The sequence below is a fragment of the Homo sapiens genome, chromosome 13 (genome assembly GCF_000001405.40).
Source record: "Homo sapiens chromosome 13, GRCh38.p14 Primary Assembly".
NCBI lineage: Eukaryota > Metazoa > Chordata > Mammalia > Primates > Hominidae > Homo > Homo sapiens.
In genome coordinates, this window is record NC_000013.11 from 49,072,099 (window position 1) to 49,092,344 (window position 20,246).

Consider the following 20,246-nt stretch of genomic DNA (forward strand, 5'->3'; position numbering starts at 1 on the left):
GGTCCTTTAGTATTTTCCCAATGTTTTTTTCTAGTAGTTTTGTAGTTTTAGGTCTTACATTTAAATCTTTAAGCCATTTTGAGCTGATTTTGTATATGTTGAAATATGGAACTGTAGTTTAATTCTTCTGCCTAATAGAAAACCGGTTTTCTGAGCACTATTTACTAAAAAGACTGTTCTTTCCCCACTATATGTTCTTGATTCCTTTGATGAAAATGAATTGGTTGTTGAGTTTCATGTCAAGGCTAGGTGAAAAGATAGAAAAAAGTGAGAGTTAAAAAGTTAAAAAAAAAGAAAATGAGTTGGCTCTAAGTGCATAGATTTATTTCTGGGTTCTCTGCTCTATTCTGTTGATCTCTCTGTCTGTTTTTATGCTAGTACCATGCTGTTTTATAGTTTTATAGTTTTCCTGGTAGAGATCTTTCACTTCTTAGGTTAAATTTATTCCTAGGTGGTTTCTTTTTTGTAGCTATTATAAATTAGGTTGCCTTCTTGATTTCTTTTTCATATTGATTGTTCATGTGTAGAAACACTACTGAGTTTTAAAAATAATAATTATTATTTAATTGCAGATGGGGTCTTGCTATATTGCCCAGGCTGGTCTCAAACTCCTGGGTTCAAGCAATCCTCCCACCTCAGCCTCCCAAAGTATTGGGATTACAGGCATGAGCCACCATGCCCAGCTAATACTACTGATTTTTGTATGTTGATTTTGTGTCCTACACCTTTACTAAATTTGTTTGTCAGTTCTAAGAGTATTTTGGTGGAGTCTTTAGGTTTTTCTAAGTATAAGATCATGTTGTCTGCAAACAAGGATAATTTGACTTCTTCTTTTCTTCTTTGTATGCTCTTTATTTCTGTCTCTTGCCTAATTTCTCTGGCTGGATGTACTAAGCCTTTGAAATCCAGTGTTTATTTCACACTTACAGCGCATATCCATACAAACTAGCTACATTTCAAGTGCTTGATAGCCATATGGCTCTTGGCTATCATTGGACAGCACAGCTGTAGATGAAGTTAAATATAGAAGCAGTAGAAGATAACACAAAGGAAAACAATAAATAACATTGGCTACAGGAAAATAAAGAATTTAGTAAAGAAAAGGCAGAAAACAAAAAGAAAAATATTTGCAACATATTATAGTACAATATTATTATTCTTAATATGCAAAGGGTTCATACAAATCATTAAAAACACTTAAAAACCCAAAAGATTAACAGGCAAGATGACACAAGCAGGTAATTTACAAAAGAGCTGGTAACAAACTTAGACATAACAATCAAAGAAGGATAAATTAAAACAATAGTACAGGTTGGGCATCCCTAATCTGACAAACCGAAATGCTCCAAAATTGGAAACTTTCTGAGCACCAACATGATGCCACAAGTGGAGAATTCCACACCCAACCTCATCTGACAGGTCATATGACAGGTTACAATCAAAACACAGTCAATAATATTGTATGAAATTACCTTCATGCTGTGTGTATAAGGTATATATGAAACATAAATGATTTTTGTGTTTAGACTTGGGTCTTATCCCCAAGATATCTCATTTCATATGTATATATATATACACACATATATAAAATATATATGTATATATAATATATATGTGTATATATAATATATATGTATATATAATATATGTGTATATATAATATATATGTATATAATATATATGTGTATATATTATATATATGTATATATATTATATATGTGTATATATTATATATATGTGTGTATATGTATATACACACACACATACATATATACATATTCCTTAATAAAAAAAAATCCCAAATTGGAAACATTTTTGGTCCAAGCATTTTGGCTAAGGGATACTCATATTTTAATATCCTATTTTCATCTGTCAAGGCAGCAAAGATTTTAAAACTGTAATTTTCAGGGTTGCAGACAATGTAGTAAAAGGGTGTTCTCATAGACTATGAGAGGGCATTCGAAGTAGTATTATAAAACCCTTTCTGTTACTTTTTATTTCCATAGGTTTTTGGGGAACAGGTGGTGTTTGGTTACATGAATAAGTTCTTTAGTGATGATTTCTGAGATTTGGGTGCACCCATCATCTGAGCAATATACACTGTACCCAATTTATAGTCCTTTATCCCTCACACTCCCCTCTCCTCACCTCCCCGCATCCCGAAAGTTGATTGTGTCATTCTTATGCCTTTGCATCCTCATAGCTTAGCTAGCTCCCATTTATGAGTGAGAAAATAGTGATGTTTGGTTTTCCATTCCTGAGTTACTTCATGAAGTAGTAAAACTCTTTTAAAAAGCAGTTTAGCAACAAGCACCAAAATTCTGTGTTTGGGAATCTATCATGAGGAAACAATACTAGCTGTAGAGAGGTGAAAACTGCATACCAAGACACTCACTTCAGCATTGTTCACAATAATGGTAAAATTGAAAACTACCTAAATTCCTTAAGTTAGGGGAATGGTTAAGTCGTTTATGGTATAATCTTTTGATGAAATATTTTCAGTAATAACTTGAAAGTCTTTTTTTTAATAATATTGAACTTTAAAAAAGGTAGAGAATTGAATATCTTGTATCTAGAATTTAAGGGAGAATTAATCCTGTGCAGCATAAGAAGTTTATTAGAATGTTAACAATGTGTATCTTAGGATAGCAGGACTTTAGTTTTTTTCCCCAGTTTCCTGTTTTTTCTCTGTTTTTCAAATGTCGTAAAATTGGTATGTATTACCTTTATAATAAAAGGAAGCCTACTTAAAATGGTGGGATTAATTTAACACATTCTCGAATATAACTTCAGATGTCATACTAATTCAGATATGCTCAACTCATGCTCTACCTATCAGTTTATACTTTAGAAAAACATGATACTTAGCAACTGATAAGCTCACTTAGATGATCTAAATATTCTGTGGTTTGACTCCATCTTTGTTTCAGAGTGAAGTTTATTGACTTTTCTTTCTAATGAAAGTGTGTCACTTTCTTCTTTTTTTTATTCCCTTTACTTTTGGCTTACGTCTAACCTCCAGAAAAGTGATGTCACATTTTTTTTAGCAAACCAGCATCTTAAATGTGTAATCCCCATTTTCCTTCCCAGTTTCATAAGGTTAAATAGCTTATATCTGCTCTGTTACTATTTTTATATTCTGATTTGCTTTTTTTTGTTTTGATTAATACTTCTTCCCCTCATTTTTAAGGTTATTCTGGTACAAGTTAACCCAGGAGAAGCATTTACAATAAGAAGAGAAGATGGACAGTTTCAGTGCATTACAGGTAAGAATGGTAATTGAGAATAATCATTTGAGACCAAATAAACCCCAAAAATTTATGATACATAATAGTGTATATGCCTATGGTTTCTTCCTTCTTTCTCACTACCAGCACACAAAAGCATAAACTCTGATATCTTAGCATTTAAGTATTGCAGTGTCATTCTAACTAGTCTCTTTGCCCTGGTTTCCTGATTATGTTGATTATTCTTGATATATTATATTGTTCATGTCTCTTTCCTGTTCAGCAATCTTTATCAAATCTAGTCCAGGTGTCTTAGTTTTTCAGAAAGATCATTTCAGCTTTTTAGTCTTGTTCCCACTTCCCCTTCAAATTGCTTTTCTTCAGTTTTTCTAATAGGCTTATTCACTGTCTTTTGAAGCTATCTTGTACTATGTGTTCTGTTTCCCTTATCTGGAATTCACCCTTATCACCACTGCCCCCCCCACCCCCACCCCCACCCCCCCTTTCAGATCCTACCTGTGCTTCAAGACTGAGCTCCAGTCCTACCTTTAACAGGTTTTTTGGAAAGTCTTTGTTTAGTGAGCATCTCCTTAGTACTGTTGACTTTTGGGTCAGGCAGTTCTTTGGTCAGCGGGACTGTTCTGTGAACTGTAGGGTGTTTAGTGGAATTCCTAGTTTATACCTACTAGCCACTCACCCTCACTTATTCATTTATGACAAACAGAAAAGTCTCTGGATATCCCCAAATATTCCCTGAGGGACAAAATTGGCTCCAGTTGAGAACCATCTTCCTATGGGAAGATGAGAGCAATAAAAAAGATGACTGGCTTTGGAATTAGAGAGAGAGAACCTAGGATTAAATCCCAGCTCCTCTGCTGTTTACTAGCTACATGACCTTGTACATGTTACTTAACCTCTGTAAGTACTTTTTTTTTTTGAGACAGAATCTCACTCTGTCACCCAGGCTGGAGTGCAGTGGCTCAATCTTAGCTCATTGCAACCTCTGCCTCCCGGGTTCAAGTGATTCTCCTGCCTCAGCCTCCCAAGTGGCTGGGATTACAGGTGCCTGCCACCACGCCTGGCTAATTTTTGTACTTTTAGTAGAGATGGGGTTTCACCATGTTGGCCAGGCTGGTCTTGAATTCCTGACCTCAGGTGATCCGCCCACCTCAGCCTCCCAAAGTGCTGGGATTACAGACGTGAGCCTCTGTACCCAGCTCTCGGTGAGTACATTTCTCATCATTAAAATTCTTATTCCTGTCAATAATAGTACACCTTATAGGATCATTGTGAAGGTTCCTGATACACGGGTAATGTACTCTAAACCAGCCTGGGACATACAAGGCACTCAATAAGTGGTGGTGAGTGCTGTAGTGTTATTGTTAATAGAAAGTGATCCCCGTCACCTGTGAAACCCCATCATACCAATTATTGCACCATTCATTTACCAAATAACTACACCATCTTGTAATATTTCTTCTAGTTGTATTTTTAAAGTTATTTAAATTTTGTATTGTTTAACATAAAATTTTTATTCAGTCTCCCCAGCTAAAGTCTAAGCACTTTGGGGACACATACCATTTCTTACATTTCTTTGTATCCCCTTCAATTCTTGGCCTTCCATATGTTGGGTATTTAACTAATAGTTATTGCTTTAGTTTAAAAAGGGAAGACAAGTGCAGTGGGTCACACCTGTAATCCCAGTGCTTTGAGAGAATGAGGCAGGAGGACCTCTTGAGGCCAGGAATACGAGACCAGCCTGGGCAGCATAACAAGACCCTGTCTCTACAAAAAATTTAAAAATTAGGCATAGTGGCGCACGCCTGCTGTCCTAACTACTCGAGAGATAAGGTTGGAAGATTGCTTGAGCCCAAAAATTTGAGGCTGCAGTGAGCTATGGTCATACCAGTGCACTCCAGCCTGGGCGATAAAGCGAGACCCTGTCTCAAAATAAAATTAAATTTAAAAAGAGCATTGGAGATGAGGTGTCTGTATACTTTGTCATCTTTCAAACTGGAATACAGTGAAAGAACTCTAACACTTACTTCAAGACAACTGATGTAAAGCAAGACTGTCTAGCCCAGGCAAACTTCCTGTCTTCCCCCATTTTACCTAGGCTGTCCAATCTGTTTAATCAAAGAAGAAATAGACCTAACTCTTTTCAGAGAAGTAATCAGCTCAGTAATTAAAATTAAAACTTTTAGCCTGACATTTAAACCTTATATATCTGAGAGTTAAAAATTTCTCTCTAAGTTGAACACATGGACACAGAGAGGGGAACCTCACACACCAGGGCCTGCGACAGGCCCCGGGCCAAGGGGAGGGAGAGCATTAGGACAAATACCTAATGCATGCAGGGCTTAAAACCTAGGTAATGGGTTTATAGGTGCACCAAACCACCATGGCACATGTATACCGATGTAACAAACCTGCACATTCTGCACATGTATCCCACAACTTAAAGTAAAAATTTTTTAAAAATTTCTCTAAGTTAATTTAAATCATTTGTGCAGCAGTTATGGCAATTTCACAAATAGGAAGAGTTCACATATTATACTTAAAAGAAACCAGGCAGTAGAATTTATAAGCAGTGTGATAAGCATTACCTGTCTTTACTTGCCAGTTAAGTTTTTATGAAAATAATTTTATTCTGTGTACTTCATAGAGTGTAAGTTTCTAATAGAGCACACATCTAGGTTTGTACATCTCTTTTCAAATTGTTTTCAATAAATACTGTTTATGGTGGGTACATTTTAACTAATACAGCATTGATCTTTTCTAACACATTTGCAGAGGAAGATACTCATTACTGTTTTAGTGTGACTCAGAACACAAAAAGTGCTATTTATGATTGGATAACCAGACCCTGAATTATAAGTAGCTTATATTTCAAAAGTTAATTTGTAACTGCAATCTGTAAACCCCACCTCCATAAATCAATTAAATTGATTTTATATGCGGCAGTGACCCCTTTGGTCAGGACCAAAAAAGCCTATCTAATTTATAATGTGCCTGTAATACTAACAGTATCTTAGTGATAGGAACTAACTACCATGAGAAGATATTTTTAGGCAGGGACACATTTCTCTGCTTCAGTGGGAAATGGATTCCTTTCTCTATATGACAGATTGTAAGATTGGAGACTGTTTTAAAATTATTGGGTAGAGGTTTTAAAAACACAGGAAAGGATAAAGGGAACCAGACAGAAAATAAGAAGGCTCTCCCCTCTTTATGTTTTTGACTGTCCAAAATTACAAGATGGAATATGGGTGGAAGGAATAGTAGTGAGCAAGGGAACTGGGGTTGAAGTCTTTGTAAAATCAACATGCCTTCACTCTGAGCAAGAGAAGACAAGAAAAGACTTCTGGAGTTCATTTTCTTCCACTTAGCCATCACTAGTTTCTGTCATATGGCAAGCCCCTTCGTGGACTAGCTCTGGATCTAGGCAAAAAGTGAGATTATTAATAGAAGTGGAGGCAACAGATAACAAGGAGAAAGAGAAATTAAGGGAAGAAAATCATATGCCAGCGAAGTGGAGAGAAACATAGATCATTATAGCCCTAAGGCCATCAAGTTAGGAAAGCTGTTCTCTGACAGCCACTATACTAATAAAATCTCTATATTAAAACCTAATGAATTGAGATAAGAGCTGTGTAAATTAATAAGCATTTGAATTAAAGTCCATTCTTTTAAAAGTAGCTTTATTACTTGTTCAGAATATTTAGAAATGAAAACTAGGTTGAGAATCACAGAGAACTTTAGACATCTAAATAATTACCTTACTTTATTGGAGGCTCAGATTTTGTGAGTTACAGCTAGTTATGGGCAGAGTTCAATACAGTAGTTTTTCTACTGTATAGCATACATTCTGGAAAGACAAATTGCTAATTATTTTTTTCTATGAATTTTCTAAGTATCTACTGAGGTATACTGTGCTAGTTGCTGGACATTCAAACAAAATCTGAAAACTAAGTTCCTGACATTCAAGAACAGTGTCATGGGGGAAAAAAAGGGAAAATTAACAGTTGTATTACAGTATAAAAAGAGATACACATAGGGTGTTATGGGAGCATAGAAGGAGGGTTACTATAACATTCAGTGGTATGTAAAGAAAAAATTATTCCAGGAGAAAATGACACATGAGCCTCCTCGAAGAACAGTGGCAGTTGGTCAGATGGACAAAGGGTCTCAAGGCACTTTAGACAGAGGGAAAGTGTTCAAAAGCAACAGAAGGAAAGAATGACTTGACTTATTTGAATAACCACAAAGAGATTGGAATTGCTAAAAAGTTGTGTAAATATGTGGTACCTGTTGAACCAAAAGTCTTCCTACTACAAACATCATTGGAAATGTTCAATAAAATAATAACATGTAATCTTTCAAATACACTCCTGAGCTTCTCTCTCTTCCCTTCACCCTATAAAAAGGAAAAAAAAGGTGGGGACTGGGGAAGAATCACTGTGGGCCAGAAACAAGGACTTTTCCACATTTATTTGTCTTCTATTTTAAGAGACAGGGTCTCTTTGTCACCCAGGCTGGAGTGTAGTAGCACAGTCATAGCTCATTGCAGCCTCAAACTCCTGGGCTCAGGTGATCCTCCTGCCTTAGCCTCCTGAGCAGTTAGGACTGCAGGTGCATGCCACCATGCTTTTATAGAGTTGAGTTCTCACTGTGTTGCCCAGGATGCTCTCAAACTCCTGGGCTCAAGCAATCGTCCCATCTCAGCCTCCCAAAGCACTGTGATTACAGGCATGGACAATTGTACCTGGCCCAATATTTGTTTCAAAAAATACAGTTTTCATATTTTTAATGAAAAGAATTAAAAATATCTACATTGTTCTTTTGATTTGATCATTTTCTATTGTCCCATACCATTTTTTCTGAGTCCTCTTCAGAATTTGATGTCTGTCTTCCCTTAGTTCTTTACCTTATTTCATGTCCTTTTGGATAAGGCACCACTCTTAAATATCTAAAAGTGTAGTCTTCTGTTTTGCTAGTTTTCCATTTTGGTCATTGGTTAGATCTGTTTATATTTCCTGATATGAACCCATACCTCATTTTTTCCCCCTTCTTTAACCATTATTCACTGGTTTTAACTTAAATTCTTGATTACTTTTGAAATGAGTGCTAGTTTGAGTCTGTCTCAGGTTTTTTCTGTTGAGAGGTATTTTGAAACAATCTAACTTGTTCTTACGTTTTCATAGTGAAGTGCTTTGATAGCATGTCAACAGATTGTCTTGTATATTGAGAGATACTGTGAAAATTAAGTATTTTGCCTAGTAACTGGTATGTAGAAATGTAAAAATTTATTGAATGGGGAGATTTTAGGTTTTATATTAATAGATCTTTGTAGCATGTGCTAAAGACTACCTTCTTAGTTTTATGTTGTGAAGAGTTATGAAAAATAGGGAATTAGGCAAGGTTTCTAAATTTGGGTTACTGGGAAGGTCATAGAAGCATATTTCATAGAGAATATGTAGTAAACACTTAAGAATCCTGTGTAGAGCTGGCTCTCCTGATGACAAATTGGTTCCTCTAGATATCATCTGTTCTGTGAAGCCCTTGCTTTAGTTTCTCTCCTCTTTTAGCTGTAGATACACATACAGAAATAATTGAAGGCAGATATTTTTACATATGTTTATAGCCCTGATGCTTTGTATGGCACCCAGCACATAGAGACTCTCAATAAACGTTTAAGGTGAGTGAAGAAGAGAAAACAACAGATGTTTCTTGAGCATTTATATGTGTCAAACAAGTAGATGTGTTATAGCCAACAGTTGTAGCTAAAAACCCTCCTTATGAGAGGCAGGTATGGCTTTTTCTCTTTTCGTCTGTGATACCTCAGAATGAATAAATGGGGCTAACGAGTAAGAATTTATTAACTATCTAGGGGTTTTGCATTGTTATGGCACTTCTACTTTGGTGTGATTCCATGCCACTACATGTAAGAGAGAAAATTATGAAAAGCAAAAAATACACAGACGAGCTATGCTTGAATAATTTTTATATGCTCTGGCTCCTTCAAATATTATGTTTTAGACAGACAAGCAAAAATATTGATGATTATTTAATACTTTAATAGGGCAGTAGTTAAGCAGAAGGGTACTTGGGTTTGAGTTCAAACTTTGCCACTTACTATTGTATCAGTCAGATTATATTCAGTATATATTGTGTCTTACACTTGTTTATGTAAATAGTGTGTGTCCGTGTGTATACACATCATGTAGGACTTAGAACATAATTTTGTCATAGAGAAGATTATTATTAGGCCGTATCTTTTGGGATATATTACTTATATCTGTGGAACCATAGAACCCAAGACCTACATCATATATAGTCTCTAATTACATTGATCATGGATTAACCACATCTACATTATAATTTTTCTGCAAAGTGGCTTCTACAAAAACAAAGACCTTATATTCTTCATCCATTCACTTATTCAGTATTCAGTGAGGGACAAAAATGAATAAGCACTGTTTATTTTCTCAAGCTTATTTGTCAGACTTTCTTATATACCTTTATAGGAAGATGAAATAAAATTTGATCATCAGACCGTTGCCAGTCTGCAACTTTGTCTCACGTTGTGTTACTCAGGATTTTGTTCTCTAGGGCTTTCTTTTGAGCCTGTTAAATCAGTACCTTTTTTTTTTTTTTTAACAAAAATAAAAACATGTTTATGAAATGTTTAAGTGTCAGAAAGTTGCTAACGTTAATAAATGTCAAACTCAAGAAGATCAGAACATATTGAAATGATAGGTCAAAAACAGTAGGATAGGCCCAGCACGGTGGCTCACGCCTGTAATCCCAGCACTTTGGGAGGCCGAGGTGGGGCGGATCACCTGTGGTCAGGAGTTCGAGACCAGTTGGACCAACATGATGAAACCCTGTCTCTATTAAAAATACAAAAATTAGCTGGATGTGGTGGCGCAAACCTGTAATCCCAGCTATTCGGGAGGCAGAGGCAGGAGAATCACTTGGACCCGGGAAGCAGAGGTTGCAGTGAGCTGAGATCCTGCCACTGCACTCCAGCCTGGGTGACAGAGTAAGACTCCATCTCAAAAACAAAAAAACCCAACAGGATAAAATTTAATAGGAGTAAATATAAAGTTCTACGTTTTGATTTTAAAAATCTAGGTACTGTATAGTGTGTATTAGTTGGGGTTCCTTTTTTGAAACTTAATCTTGCCTATAAAACACAAAAGAGTTTAAGATGATATTGAGACTCCTCCTGTCCTCATTCCTTTTCCTTCCTAATAGCTCAGTCCTGAAGCTCTTAGGTGAGGCAGAACAATATAGGCAGTGCACTAGTGGGAATGGGAGAGGTGAGCTGCAGTTCCCCAGAGTAGGATGTCAGAGCCCTAATTGAATGAGAACCATATCACATCAGAGAATAGCCAAGTATAGGGAGTTAGAGCCCAAGCAGACTGAAGAGGGAATTCACACAAGAAGGCAGCCTGGTATAGGGAGTCAGAGTATAAGGCTGAGGAGGATATCATCAAGAAGGTATGTAGTGTGGCATGTAAGAACTTGAGCAGGATGAGGCAGTCACTGACGCAATGCAATGATCCAGCATGGGGAATCAGAGCTCAAACAAGAGTGAGGAGGCCATCTGTGTGGAGGGGTAGCCTGACCTGGGTTGTAGGAGTCCCAGCATGGTCAGATAGTGCACAATCTGGGGATGTATTAGAGTGAAGAGTCAGAGCCCAACTAGGGTAAAAAGGGCATCCACACAGAGGTGGTCTAATTAGGAAGTCATCATCAATGCTGTGATTATACCCCTTCCCCTCCTCCACTAAGAACTCAGTATTACTTGCTTCTAGCACAGATACCACTTCTGCAACAGGAATTTTGTAGCCACCCACCACTGCCTGCCAAATTATCAGCACCTGTAGGAGTGATGGTCTTTATCTCACACCAAGGAGACTCCTCAAACACACAAAGGGACTTCAGATTCTATGCACTAAAACAAATGACAGCGTCCACTGCAGTGCAAGAGAAGACAACTTTATGAATAGAACTTGCTTATTTTAGCGGAACTAGAACTAAATATGAGTCATCTATTGAATCCCATTTGCAAAAGGGAAAACAAATGAAATCTTGGACTTCAAAAATAGAAATGCAAGTTCAAAACAGATGGTGGTGTATGCTGGTTAGACGGTATTCTTTTAACATGTTTAAAAGAAGTATTGACAAACTGGGATTGTCCCAAGGAAGATAACCAGGAGATCATAGAAGCGTGAAATCACCTTTATAAAACACTATAGAAATGCGTGAAGGATGTTTAACCTAGAAAAGAGGGCAGTGACTTGGTCTCAAGCTCTTGACCTCGTGATCCACCCGCCTCGGCCTCCCAAAGTGCTGGGATTACGGTTGCATTCACCACCATGCCCGGCTAAGGAAGCAGATTTTGACACGGGGAAGAACAGCTATGGCTGTATAAAAATGGAGTTGTTTGTTATAACAGTGTCCCATCTTCATATGTGTTCATACCCTGGTTGGGTGATATTATAAAAGTAATTCCAGCATAGAAAGATAATTGTGATTAGGTGAATTCCAGCAGTTATTGTAACTAAAGATGCTTTGATTCCAGAATAATCTGTTTATTAAACTGAGTTCTCTTTAGTTACTTCTGGGAATGAGGACTCTGAATGAGCGTGTTAAATTTAACAAGTCTATCTGTGCACAGGCACATAAGGTAATTGAGCTAGTGAATGGTTATTGCTCATGGTAGACCTATAAATAGTATATCAACTAGTTAATTTATTAATACCCACTACTGGTGAAATAAATACTTGAGGAGAGAGAAACTTCCACTACATTCTGAATCTCATAGGGGCAGGAACAATAATGCCGTCTTTATTTTGGTACAAAAACCCTACTTAACTGAAGTGGAGTATTATCTTCCATTTTGTTTCTTTAACAACAGAAATTGCCTGTTTCATCTTTTATCATCTGTGCTAAAATAATGCCTTTTGCTTAGTGGGCATTCTGTCAATATGTTAAAAAGAACTGCTAAAATATTTTTATTTGTGTACAGTACTTGCTTGCCTTGGTAACTGTTATATACCAAAAATATACTTTTCATACTTGGGGATATTTTAGTGCCTCAGAGTTTTCAATATGAGCACCATTTAAGATTATACAGTTATATGAAAATATTGATTTAAATATGTAAATGGTGAGCCACAGATATCACCTGGGTGATGATCATTTGACCAAAAATTCTGGGTTTATGCTTATTTTCTCATGATTTGACTCTTTGTGTAGAAAAAGTATCAAGGTGAATTCAAGTTTTCTGAGAGGTATCACCTTTGTTTTCTCATACCTCACGCTGCTTGGGGAAGACAAGAACCTAATTAACACTACTAGAGTGTGTTGATTGTGAACCTCGTCACCTACTAGAGTTAGTATGATCAGGCTCCACCTAGAAGTCCTATTGCTAACCTTTTGGTTTCAAGTGGCTCAGAACAGCTTCTCAGGAGTTATTGATGTTTTCTCCTCGTTGTTGCTGGTATGGCTTTTTCTGCCAGTAGGGGTTTATCCTTTCTTGCTTCTACTGTCCCCTCATTAAAGAAGTAACCAGCCCCGGTGCTTCTGGGGGCAGTTATTGTCAACTCCTCTATCTGACTTTTCTTTTTCGTTGCTGCTGCTGTTCATTGCTTTTCTACTCTCACCTCATTTCCTCAAGTACCTGATCCTGCTTCTTCCTGCCATTACAGGTCTTTTTGAACATAAGGGATGGTATGTCCCAACCAGTTAGTAACCATTTTCTCCCTTTCTGTGCTGTGGGATCGTGATGATTATAACCACACGTCCATCCTCATTCCTGCAATTAGTCAGCTTTTTCAAATACCTGCCATCTCCTTTGCAGAGCATTTTTTAGCAAGTCCCTAGACTAAGCCAGTATTTTGTTAAATAGTTATAAACCCTGAGCCTCTATCCCATTAATCACAACTCTGTTACCTCATGGTAAGTTATTTGCCTTGCAAAAGTTGGAGCTCCTGGCCTTGTCCTTCTCTCATGTTCTAGTGTAAATCCTTATGCCCATAAGACATAAGCAAAGCCCTCTTCTCTCAGGATGTCTTTGTTGGGGAGGAGAGAGGAATGTAGAGTCCTCATGCAAGTAAGACTCCTAGTAACCTGCTCTGATATCCTGGAATCTCTGAGACACCTCAGCCTCATGACTCTTGATACTTCAGGGCTTTGATATTAGAAATACCTCTGAAATTTATCAGAAGTTGTGTCTATTGTGTTGTAGATCATAGTCACTACAACTTTTGCTGCAGTTACTATAACAGTAGGCATGAGATATTACACGTATACCATTTCTTCCTATAATCACAATAAAACTTTAAAGAAGTAACAGACTATGTGACAGAATTAATGGTGTGTTATTAAAGGCACAGGTCTGGGAGTAAATTGACCTGGGTTCTAGAACCAATGGGTGGAAGTTAAAAGAAAACAGAGTTTAGCTTAGCATGAAGAAGAACTTTGTAATAAACGGAGATGTCAAAGGAGGGTTAGGAGTGATCAGTTTCCCATCCATCCTTTTTTTTTTTTTTTTTTCCCCTTGAGACCAAGTCTTACTGTCTTGCCCAGGCTGGAGTGCAATGGCCCGATCTCGGCTCACTGCAACCTCTGCCTCCTGAGTTCAAGTGATTCTCCTGCTTCAACCTCCCAAGTAGCTGGGATTACAGGCACTTGCCATCATGCCCGGCTAATTTTTGTATTTTTGTAGAGACAAGGTTTCACCATGTTGGCCAGGCTGGTCTTGAACTCCTGATCTCAGGTGATCCACCCGCCTCAGCCTCCTAAAGTTCTGGGATTACAGGCATGAGCCACTGCACCCAGCCTCTCCCATCTATCTTTGTAGGTGGTAATGCATCTGCTGGCTCTTCACTTGATGGTGGTTTATTTATAGAAGATGGTTTATTTCTTTTGAGGGGATTGTTCATGCCTTTTAAGGTTCATCACAAGCCTAAAATGCTATTAATTTATAGCCGTAGGTAATTTACTTAAATTCTGGCCGGTATTGTGCATATACTGAAATGAGGGTGGGCTAGGGCAATTTAGATTCTACAAGTTTCTACCAGCTCTCAAATAGTTACATATTCATAACTATACTAATTACATACCATGTCTTAAATGTATTTTAATAATACGGAGATTGATATTATAAGAATTTTTTATAAGATCACTGGTTATCTTTTGCCCACTGACTTTGCATTACAGCAAATCAGACCAAGTTCTACTGAAATTATAAGTAACTCAAGTCAAAACCACATGTAGTAGATTTTTATTCCCATATGACTATTTACTTTTTTCATAATTAGCAAACTAAACCATGGAGAAGTTTGTTCTTTATACATTACTTAAACAACCTTAACTTCCATTAGAAAATTTTTTGAAGCATAGGTAACTATTTTTCATACTGGTGGAAATCATGATTGTATTTAAAAATTTGCTCTTTATACTTCCCCTTTTAATATGAAAACATCAGTTTAATTAGAGTCGCTCAAAATAGTAGCTTTGAAACATTAATGAGTCATGTTTGTAAAAATGAATTATAACAGATCATCCATTCATAAATTCAGCCCATTTCAATTTAAGTGAATGACTATGATTCATTCCGAGTACATTGTGTAATAGTCTCAGGATGTCCCAGAGAGCTATTAAATGTTACTTTTCAAGAGAAAGTGTGTTATATAAGACTTATTTAAGAGAAAATTGCAATATTTTTGTTAGAAAGGAAAATATAGGGAAATTCAGTTGTCATCAATTCTTCATGTTCCTAATAAGCAAAATATCACTGTTATAGTTAGTCTCTTGGAAGTATAAAATCTAAGCCAGTTTAGTGAGTGCTATTAAAATAAGCAACAAAAATATTGATTAAAAAAATTTTTTAATGACTGATGACAAAAGGAAATTAGGATCCAGAAAGATGAGTATGTGAAATATCTTATATTAGCTTTTGAATAAATGTTCACAAACCTTTTGCATTCTGGCACTTTTGATATCGTTTAGTGACTAAAATGGACATAAAAGGATCTAAGCCTTCTTTTGAGCTGGCCTCACAAAATGCTATTTTATTACGTAGGTAGAAATATGAATATAAAATGTTTGTTTTGTGTGCCATTCTCTCTTCCTGTTTTCCCTTTTAGGAAAAAAGCCACTTACTAATAGTAGATAAGAGCTAGGAAATGAGGCTAGAGAAGCAAATTGACTTGGAATAGGGAAAAAATGGAAAGATTAGATAATTTTAAAGACAAGAAAAATGAATTTGGATGTTTTACAAGAGTCAAAAATTTACAGTCAAAAGAGCTAGAGAAGATTTTCACTTTAGGCAGATTTTAAGCTAATTCCTAAGAATTATGTATCTAAGGCAGTTTCCATTTAGTTTGATTTTAAAAGCTGCCTTTTGAATATCTAATACCAATTATAAAATAAATATGTGTAAGTAAAATAAAATGGTAACTTGTTTTTTATAAGAGGGGAAGTTGGTTGGTTTTATAAATTAAATGAACATTTATGCAGTCGGTTATTTTTACGTAAAAATAGTTGTTATATTCTAGGTAACAGAAATTTAGAAACCTATTTTTCTGTAGAAGAAAGGTGTTGCTATCTGCTTTTGATTTCTCAGATATTTGCTTCTCCTTAGAATGCTATGATCAGATTTTTATTAGAATGAAGTTTTCTAAAGGCTTTGATTGGCATTAGCTTCATTACTTATTTGCTTAGGTTAAGATTAGCCCAATAGACATATTATCTTTATGGACCATTGCAAATTTTTCTAATATCTAACCATTTTTAACCTTTTATATATGAATAATTAAGGAAACATTCAATTATAATAAAATTTATTCCTGGCACTATGTAGGCACTCAATAAGTATTTGTTAATTGAGTAAATGATCCCAGTAGATAGTTACATACAATATACAGGGAATCTTTTTCTACTACGTGTGTTTTTCCTCAAAATATTTTTTTAGTTCCACTTCATCATGAAATTACTTGGAAACTGACACCAAAGAGATCATGTTTGGGCACAGTTTTATTTCACTCAGCTTCACTCCAAAATTCTCATACTATGGGAAAATAATCCATAACAGTAGTAACTATTGTGATCATATACTACTACTACTTCTAGATTGAATGATTGTTACACTCTTGTCAAGGTCACCAGTAACCTCTGTGTAGCCAGAATGAGTGGTCAATTCTCACTTCTCATCATACTTGACCTCAGTGTATTATTTGAACCAGTAGCATTCGACCCAGTATATTTAACCCAGTGTATTATTTCCTTCTTCTTGGACACTGTTCTCTTGATTGCCCTTCTACAGTTTATGCATTCTCCTGTTTTTTTTCCAACCGCACTAGTACTTCCTTCTCAGTCTTTTTTTCTTTTTTTTCTTTTTTAAGTAAAGACAGGGTCTCGCTATGTTGCCCAGGCTGGTCTTGAACTCGTAGCCTCAAGTGATTCTCCTGCCTTGGCCTCCTAAAGTGCTAGGATTTACAGGCATGAGGCACTGCACACAGCAGTGTTTTCTGATGTGTATTAAAATTTAATTTCAAAAGTATGTAGCAGTTAAGTGAAATAAATCAGTCACAAAAAGATAAATATTGTGTGATTCCACTTACGTGAGGTATCCAAAATAGTCAAATTCATAGAGAGAGAAAATAGAATAGTGGTTGCTAGGGACTAGAGGGAGGGAAGAGTGGAGAGTTAGTATTTAATGGGTACAGAATTTTAGTTTTGGAAGATGAAAAATGTTCTGGAGTTGGATAGTGGTGATAGTTGCACAACAATGTAAATGTACCTAATATTGAACCATACACTTAAAATGTGTTAAAATGGCAAGTTTTATCTGTATTTTACCACAATTTAAAAAATTAATTTAGTAAATTTTTATATTTATCAAAAACCATTTTTAAAGCAGCAGATACCTGAAGCCAGAGCTTAAATAATGTGGTAGGCAAAATTCTAGGATGGCCCCCAGTGTTGTTGCCTTCTCTTGTACATAACCTACATAATTTCCAGGACAATGAATATGATGAATGTTACTTTCACAATTGGGTTATATTGTATTGCATGGTACAGATGACTTTTAAGAAAGAGAGATTGTCTGGAATAAACCTCACTAATCAAGTGAGTCCTTATGAAAAGAGGGCCTTTCTGGAAGAGATTTGAAGCATGAGATGGAAGTCAGCAAGTGAAAGAGTTTTCTTGCTGGCTTTGAAGATGGAAAGGGCCACATGGCAAGAAATGTGGGTGGGCTCTGGGAACTGACTGTGGTCCCTGGCTACCCACCAGAAATGGGGACCTCAGTCCTGCAATCACAAAACTTAATTCTGCCACACCATAAGCTTTTGGTAAGAGGTCTCCAACCTCCAGATGAGAATACACCCTAGTTCACGCTTCTTTTTTTGCCTTATGAGACCCCGAACAGAGAAGCCAGTTACACCATACCCAGACTTCTGAAGTACAAAACTGAACTAATGAATGGGTACTTTTTAAAACCACTGTTTGTTACACAGCAATAAAAAACTAAGACAAATAATATGAACTTTTTTCTTTTCTCATAAATTACGGTACAAAGATAGGCAGTTAGTGCTTGTATGGAGGTGCTGCTCCATAGGTTATACAAGTGGCCTAGGTTACTTTTGCCTTGGCCTGCCATCCCTAGGTTGCTGCCAATGTATGCATGATCCAGGTTGGCTCACCACCATGTCCATGTGCCAAAGAGAATGGAAAAGGGCAGGAGAAGAAAAAGAGATGAGAAATTTGCCCACTTTCTTTAAGAACATATCCCAGAGGCCAGACGCGCTGGCTCACACCTGTAATCCCAGCACTTTGGGAGGCTGAGGTGGGCAGATCACGAAGTCAGGGGTTCGAGACCAGCCTGACCAACATGGTGAAACCCTGTCTCTACTAAAATATACAAAAATTAGCTGGGCATGGTGGCATGTGCCTGTAGTCCCAGCTAGTCAGGAGGCTGAGAGAGGAGAATCACTTGAGGTAGAAGTTGCAGTGAGCCAAGATCACGCCACTGCACTCCAGCCTGGGTGACAGAGCGAGACTCCGTCTCAAAAACAAAACAAAACAAAAAAACAAACACATCCAGGAGATTGCACAGATCGGGGGTCTGTGCTTTGACCTCTGACTGGGGTCTGTGCTTTGACCTCTGACTGCTGCTTCTGTCACAGACATGCAAACAAAGAAGTGGGCAGCCATTGTTATTGTACGACCCTCTATTGCAAGTGCCCCCCCACCCCACCCCCTGGCTGTTGTGACTTCCAGGGGATTTAAAGAACAACACCCTTTTATCCCCCACTTTGTTTTCCCCCGTCTGGGAGCCATGCATTAAAGATTAGGTCAGTCAACATGTACCATAGGCCAGGCTCAGTGGCTCATGCCTGTAATCACGACACTTTGGGAGGCCAAGGTAGGAGGATCGTTTGAGGCCAGGAGTTCAAGACAACACAGTGAGACCTCATCTCTACTACTGAAAATTTTTTAAAAATTAGGCATGGTGGTGTATGCCTGTAGTCCCAGCTACTCGGAAGGCTGAGGCAGCAGGATTGCTTGAGCCCAGGAGTTCAAGGTTGCAGTGAGCTATGCTTGTGCTGTTGCACTCCAGCCTGGGCAACATAGCAAGACTCTGTCTCAAATCTGCTTTTACAGGGAAAACTGAAAATGACCATACATGCTCAGGGAAAGACATAGGCTCTCAGAAGACCTTAAATGTACATCTCAGGCTGATCCTTGGCAAAGAGATAGTCTACAACAATAAAAAAATCAGAACAATAACAAAAAACAGCCAACTCTGGGGAAAGAGAAGAAACTGATTTCCAGAGTTTCTACATGATTAGATTTAAATGTCCAGTTTTCAACAAAAAAAGATTACAAGGCATACAAAGAAACAGAAAAGTATTGCCCATTCAAAGGAAAAAAAAAGAAATAAACAGAAATTGTTCATGAAAAAAGACTCAGTGGTAGATCTACTAAATACAGACTTAAAAAAAAAAAAACAACTCCTGGGGCTGTGAAAGAAAACAGAGACTTTAAAACAACTCTCTTAAAGATGCTCAGAGGAATGAAGTCCCTGACCATCCAGCTAAACCATTGGGTACAGCCCATGAATCTGTATGTAATCACACATCTGGCCATTTCTACTTCCATGCAGAGTACACAACCAGTTGCACTGCTTGAAGTTCTGCCCACTGGGAAGATTTCCCTTCACTGTTGTCCTTCAAGAATGTCCTAGAAAGGGACTGTAGTGCTGCAGCTGTTCACTTTTGGGTGATGCCTGCATATCATGCAGATCCATTTGTGAACCAGGCCCTATCTTCTCTTCCTGTGTCAACTGATCATAGGGAACTCTCCATGAGGCCATAGGTGCAGGCTGGGGGAGAGAAGGCAGGGTGGCAGGAGTGGAGACTATGGGCATTTGAGCCACTTCCTCATGTAACTTACTTGTGCCTGCAAGACCTGCTCAAGCTCGATCACTTCCATTTGATGATGGAATGCTGCCATGCATAAACCACTTTATGGCTAGATGGGTCAGAAAGCACCCAGTTCATGATGGGCAGTTAGGTCACATGGTGACTTGATGACCCATAGTCAAATATTCAGTTTCCACCAAAGCCCAGTAACGGGCCAAGAGCTGTCTCTCCAAAGGAGAGTTGTTATCTGCGGAAGATGGCAGGGCCTTGCCCCAAAATCCTAGAGGTCTTTGCTGTGATTCACCTATGGGGGCCTGCCAAAGGCTCCAAACAGCATCCCTATCTGCCACTGACACCTCAAGCACCATTGGATCTGCTGGGTCATATGCCCCAAGTGACAGAGCAGCTTGCACAGCAGCCTGGACCTGTTGCAGAGCTTTCTCCTGTTCTGGAGCCCACTTAAACTGGCAGCCTTTCAGGTCACTCGATAAATGGGCTGAAGTAACATACCCAGATGAGGAATGTGTTGCCTCCAAAATCCAGTTAGGCCCACTAGGCATTGTGCCTCTTTCTT

The 20,246-nt window shown here is 37.6% G+C and overlaps 1 protein-coding gene across 5 annotated transcripts in view, besides 3 other annotated features; it reads left to right on the plus strand.

The window, feature by feature from the left end:
- The window catches only part of FNDC3A (fibronectin type III domain containing 3A), a 234,489-nt gene that overhangs the window by 96,808 nt on the left and 117,435 nt on the right, over positions 1 to 20,246 (plus strand). For all 5 annotated transcript variants that reach the window (NR_103528.2, XM_017020440.3, NM_001079673.2 and 2 more), the window contains exon 3: positions 3,191 to 3,266. Coding sequence is in view for 4 of the 5 variants with exons in the window: in XM_017020440.3 (XP_016875929.1) it covers positions 3,191 to 3,266 (76 nt within the window). In the remaining variant the exon portion in view is untranslated. The remainder of the gene's footprint in view (positions 1 to 3,190; positions 3,267 to 20,246) is intronic.
- Positions 10,524 to 10,773: an enhancer, noted in NCBI's record as "active region_7742". NCBI's record gives its function as "activates an Ori minimal core promoter by ATAC-STARR-seq in GM12878 lymphoblastoid cells {active_cell/tissue: GM12878}" and the evidence as "EXISTENCE:reporter gene assay evidence [ECO:0000049][PMID:35858748]".
- Positions 10,964 to 11,023: an enhancer, noted in NCBI's record as "active region_7743". NCBI's record gives its function as "activates an Ori minimal core promoter by ATAC-STARR-seq in GM12878 lymphoblastoid cells {active_cell/tissue: GM12878}" and the evidence as "EXISTENCE:reporter gene assay evidence [ECO:0000049][PMID:35858748]".
- Positions 11,234 to 11,323: an enhancer, noted in NCBI's record as "active region_7744". NCBI's record gives its function as "activates an Ori minimal core promoter by ATAC-STARR-seq in GM12878 lymphoblastoid cells {active_cell/tissue: GM12878}" and the evidence as "EXISTENCE:reporter gene assay evidence [ECO:0000049][PMID:35858748]".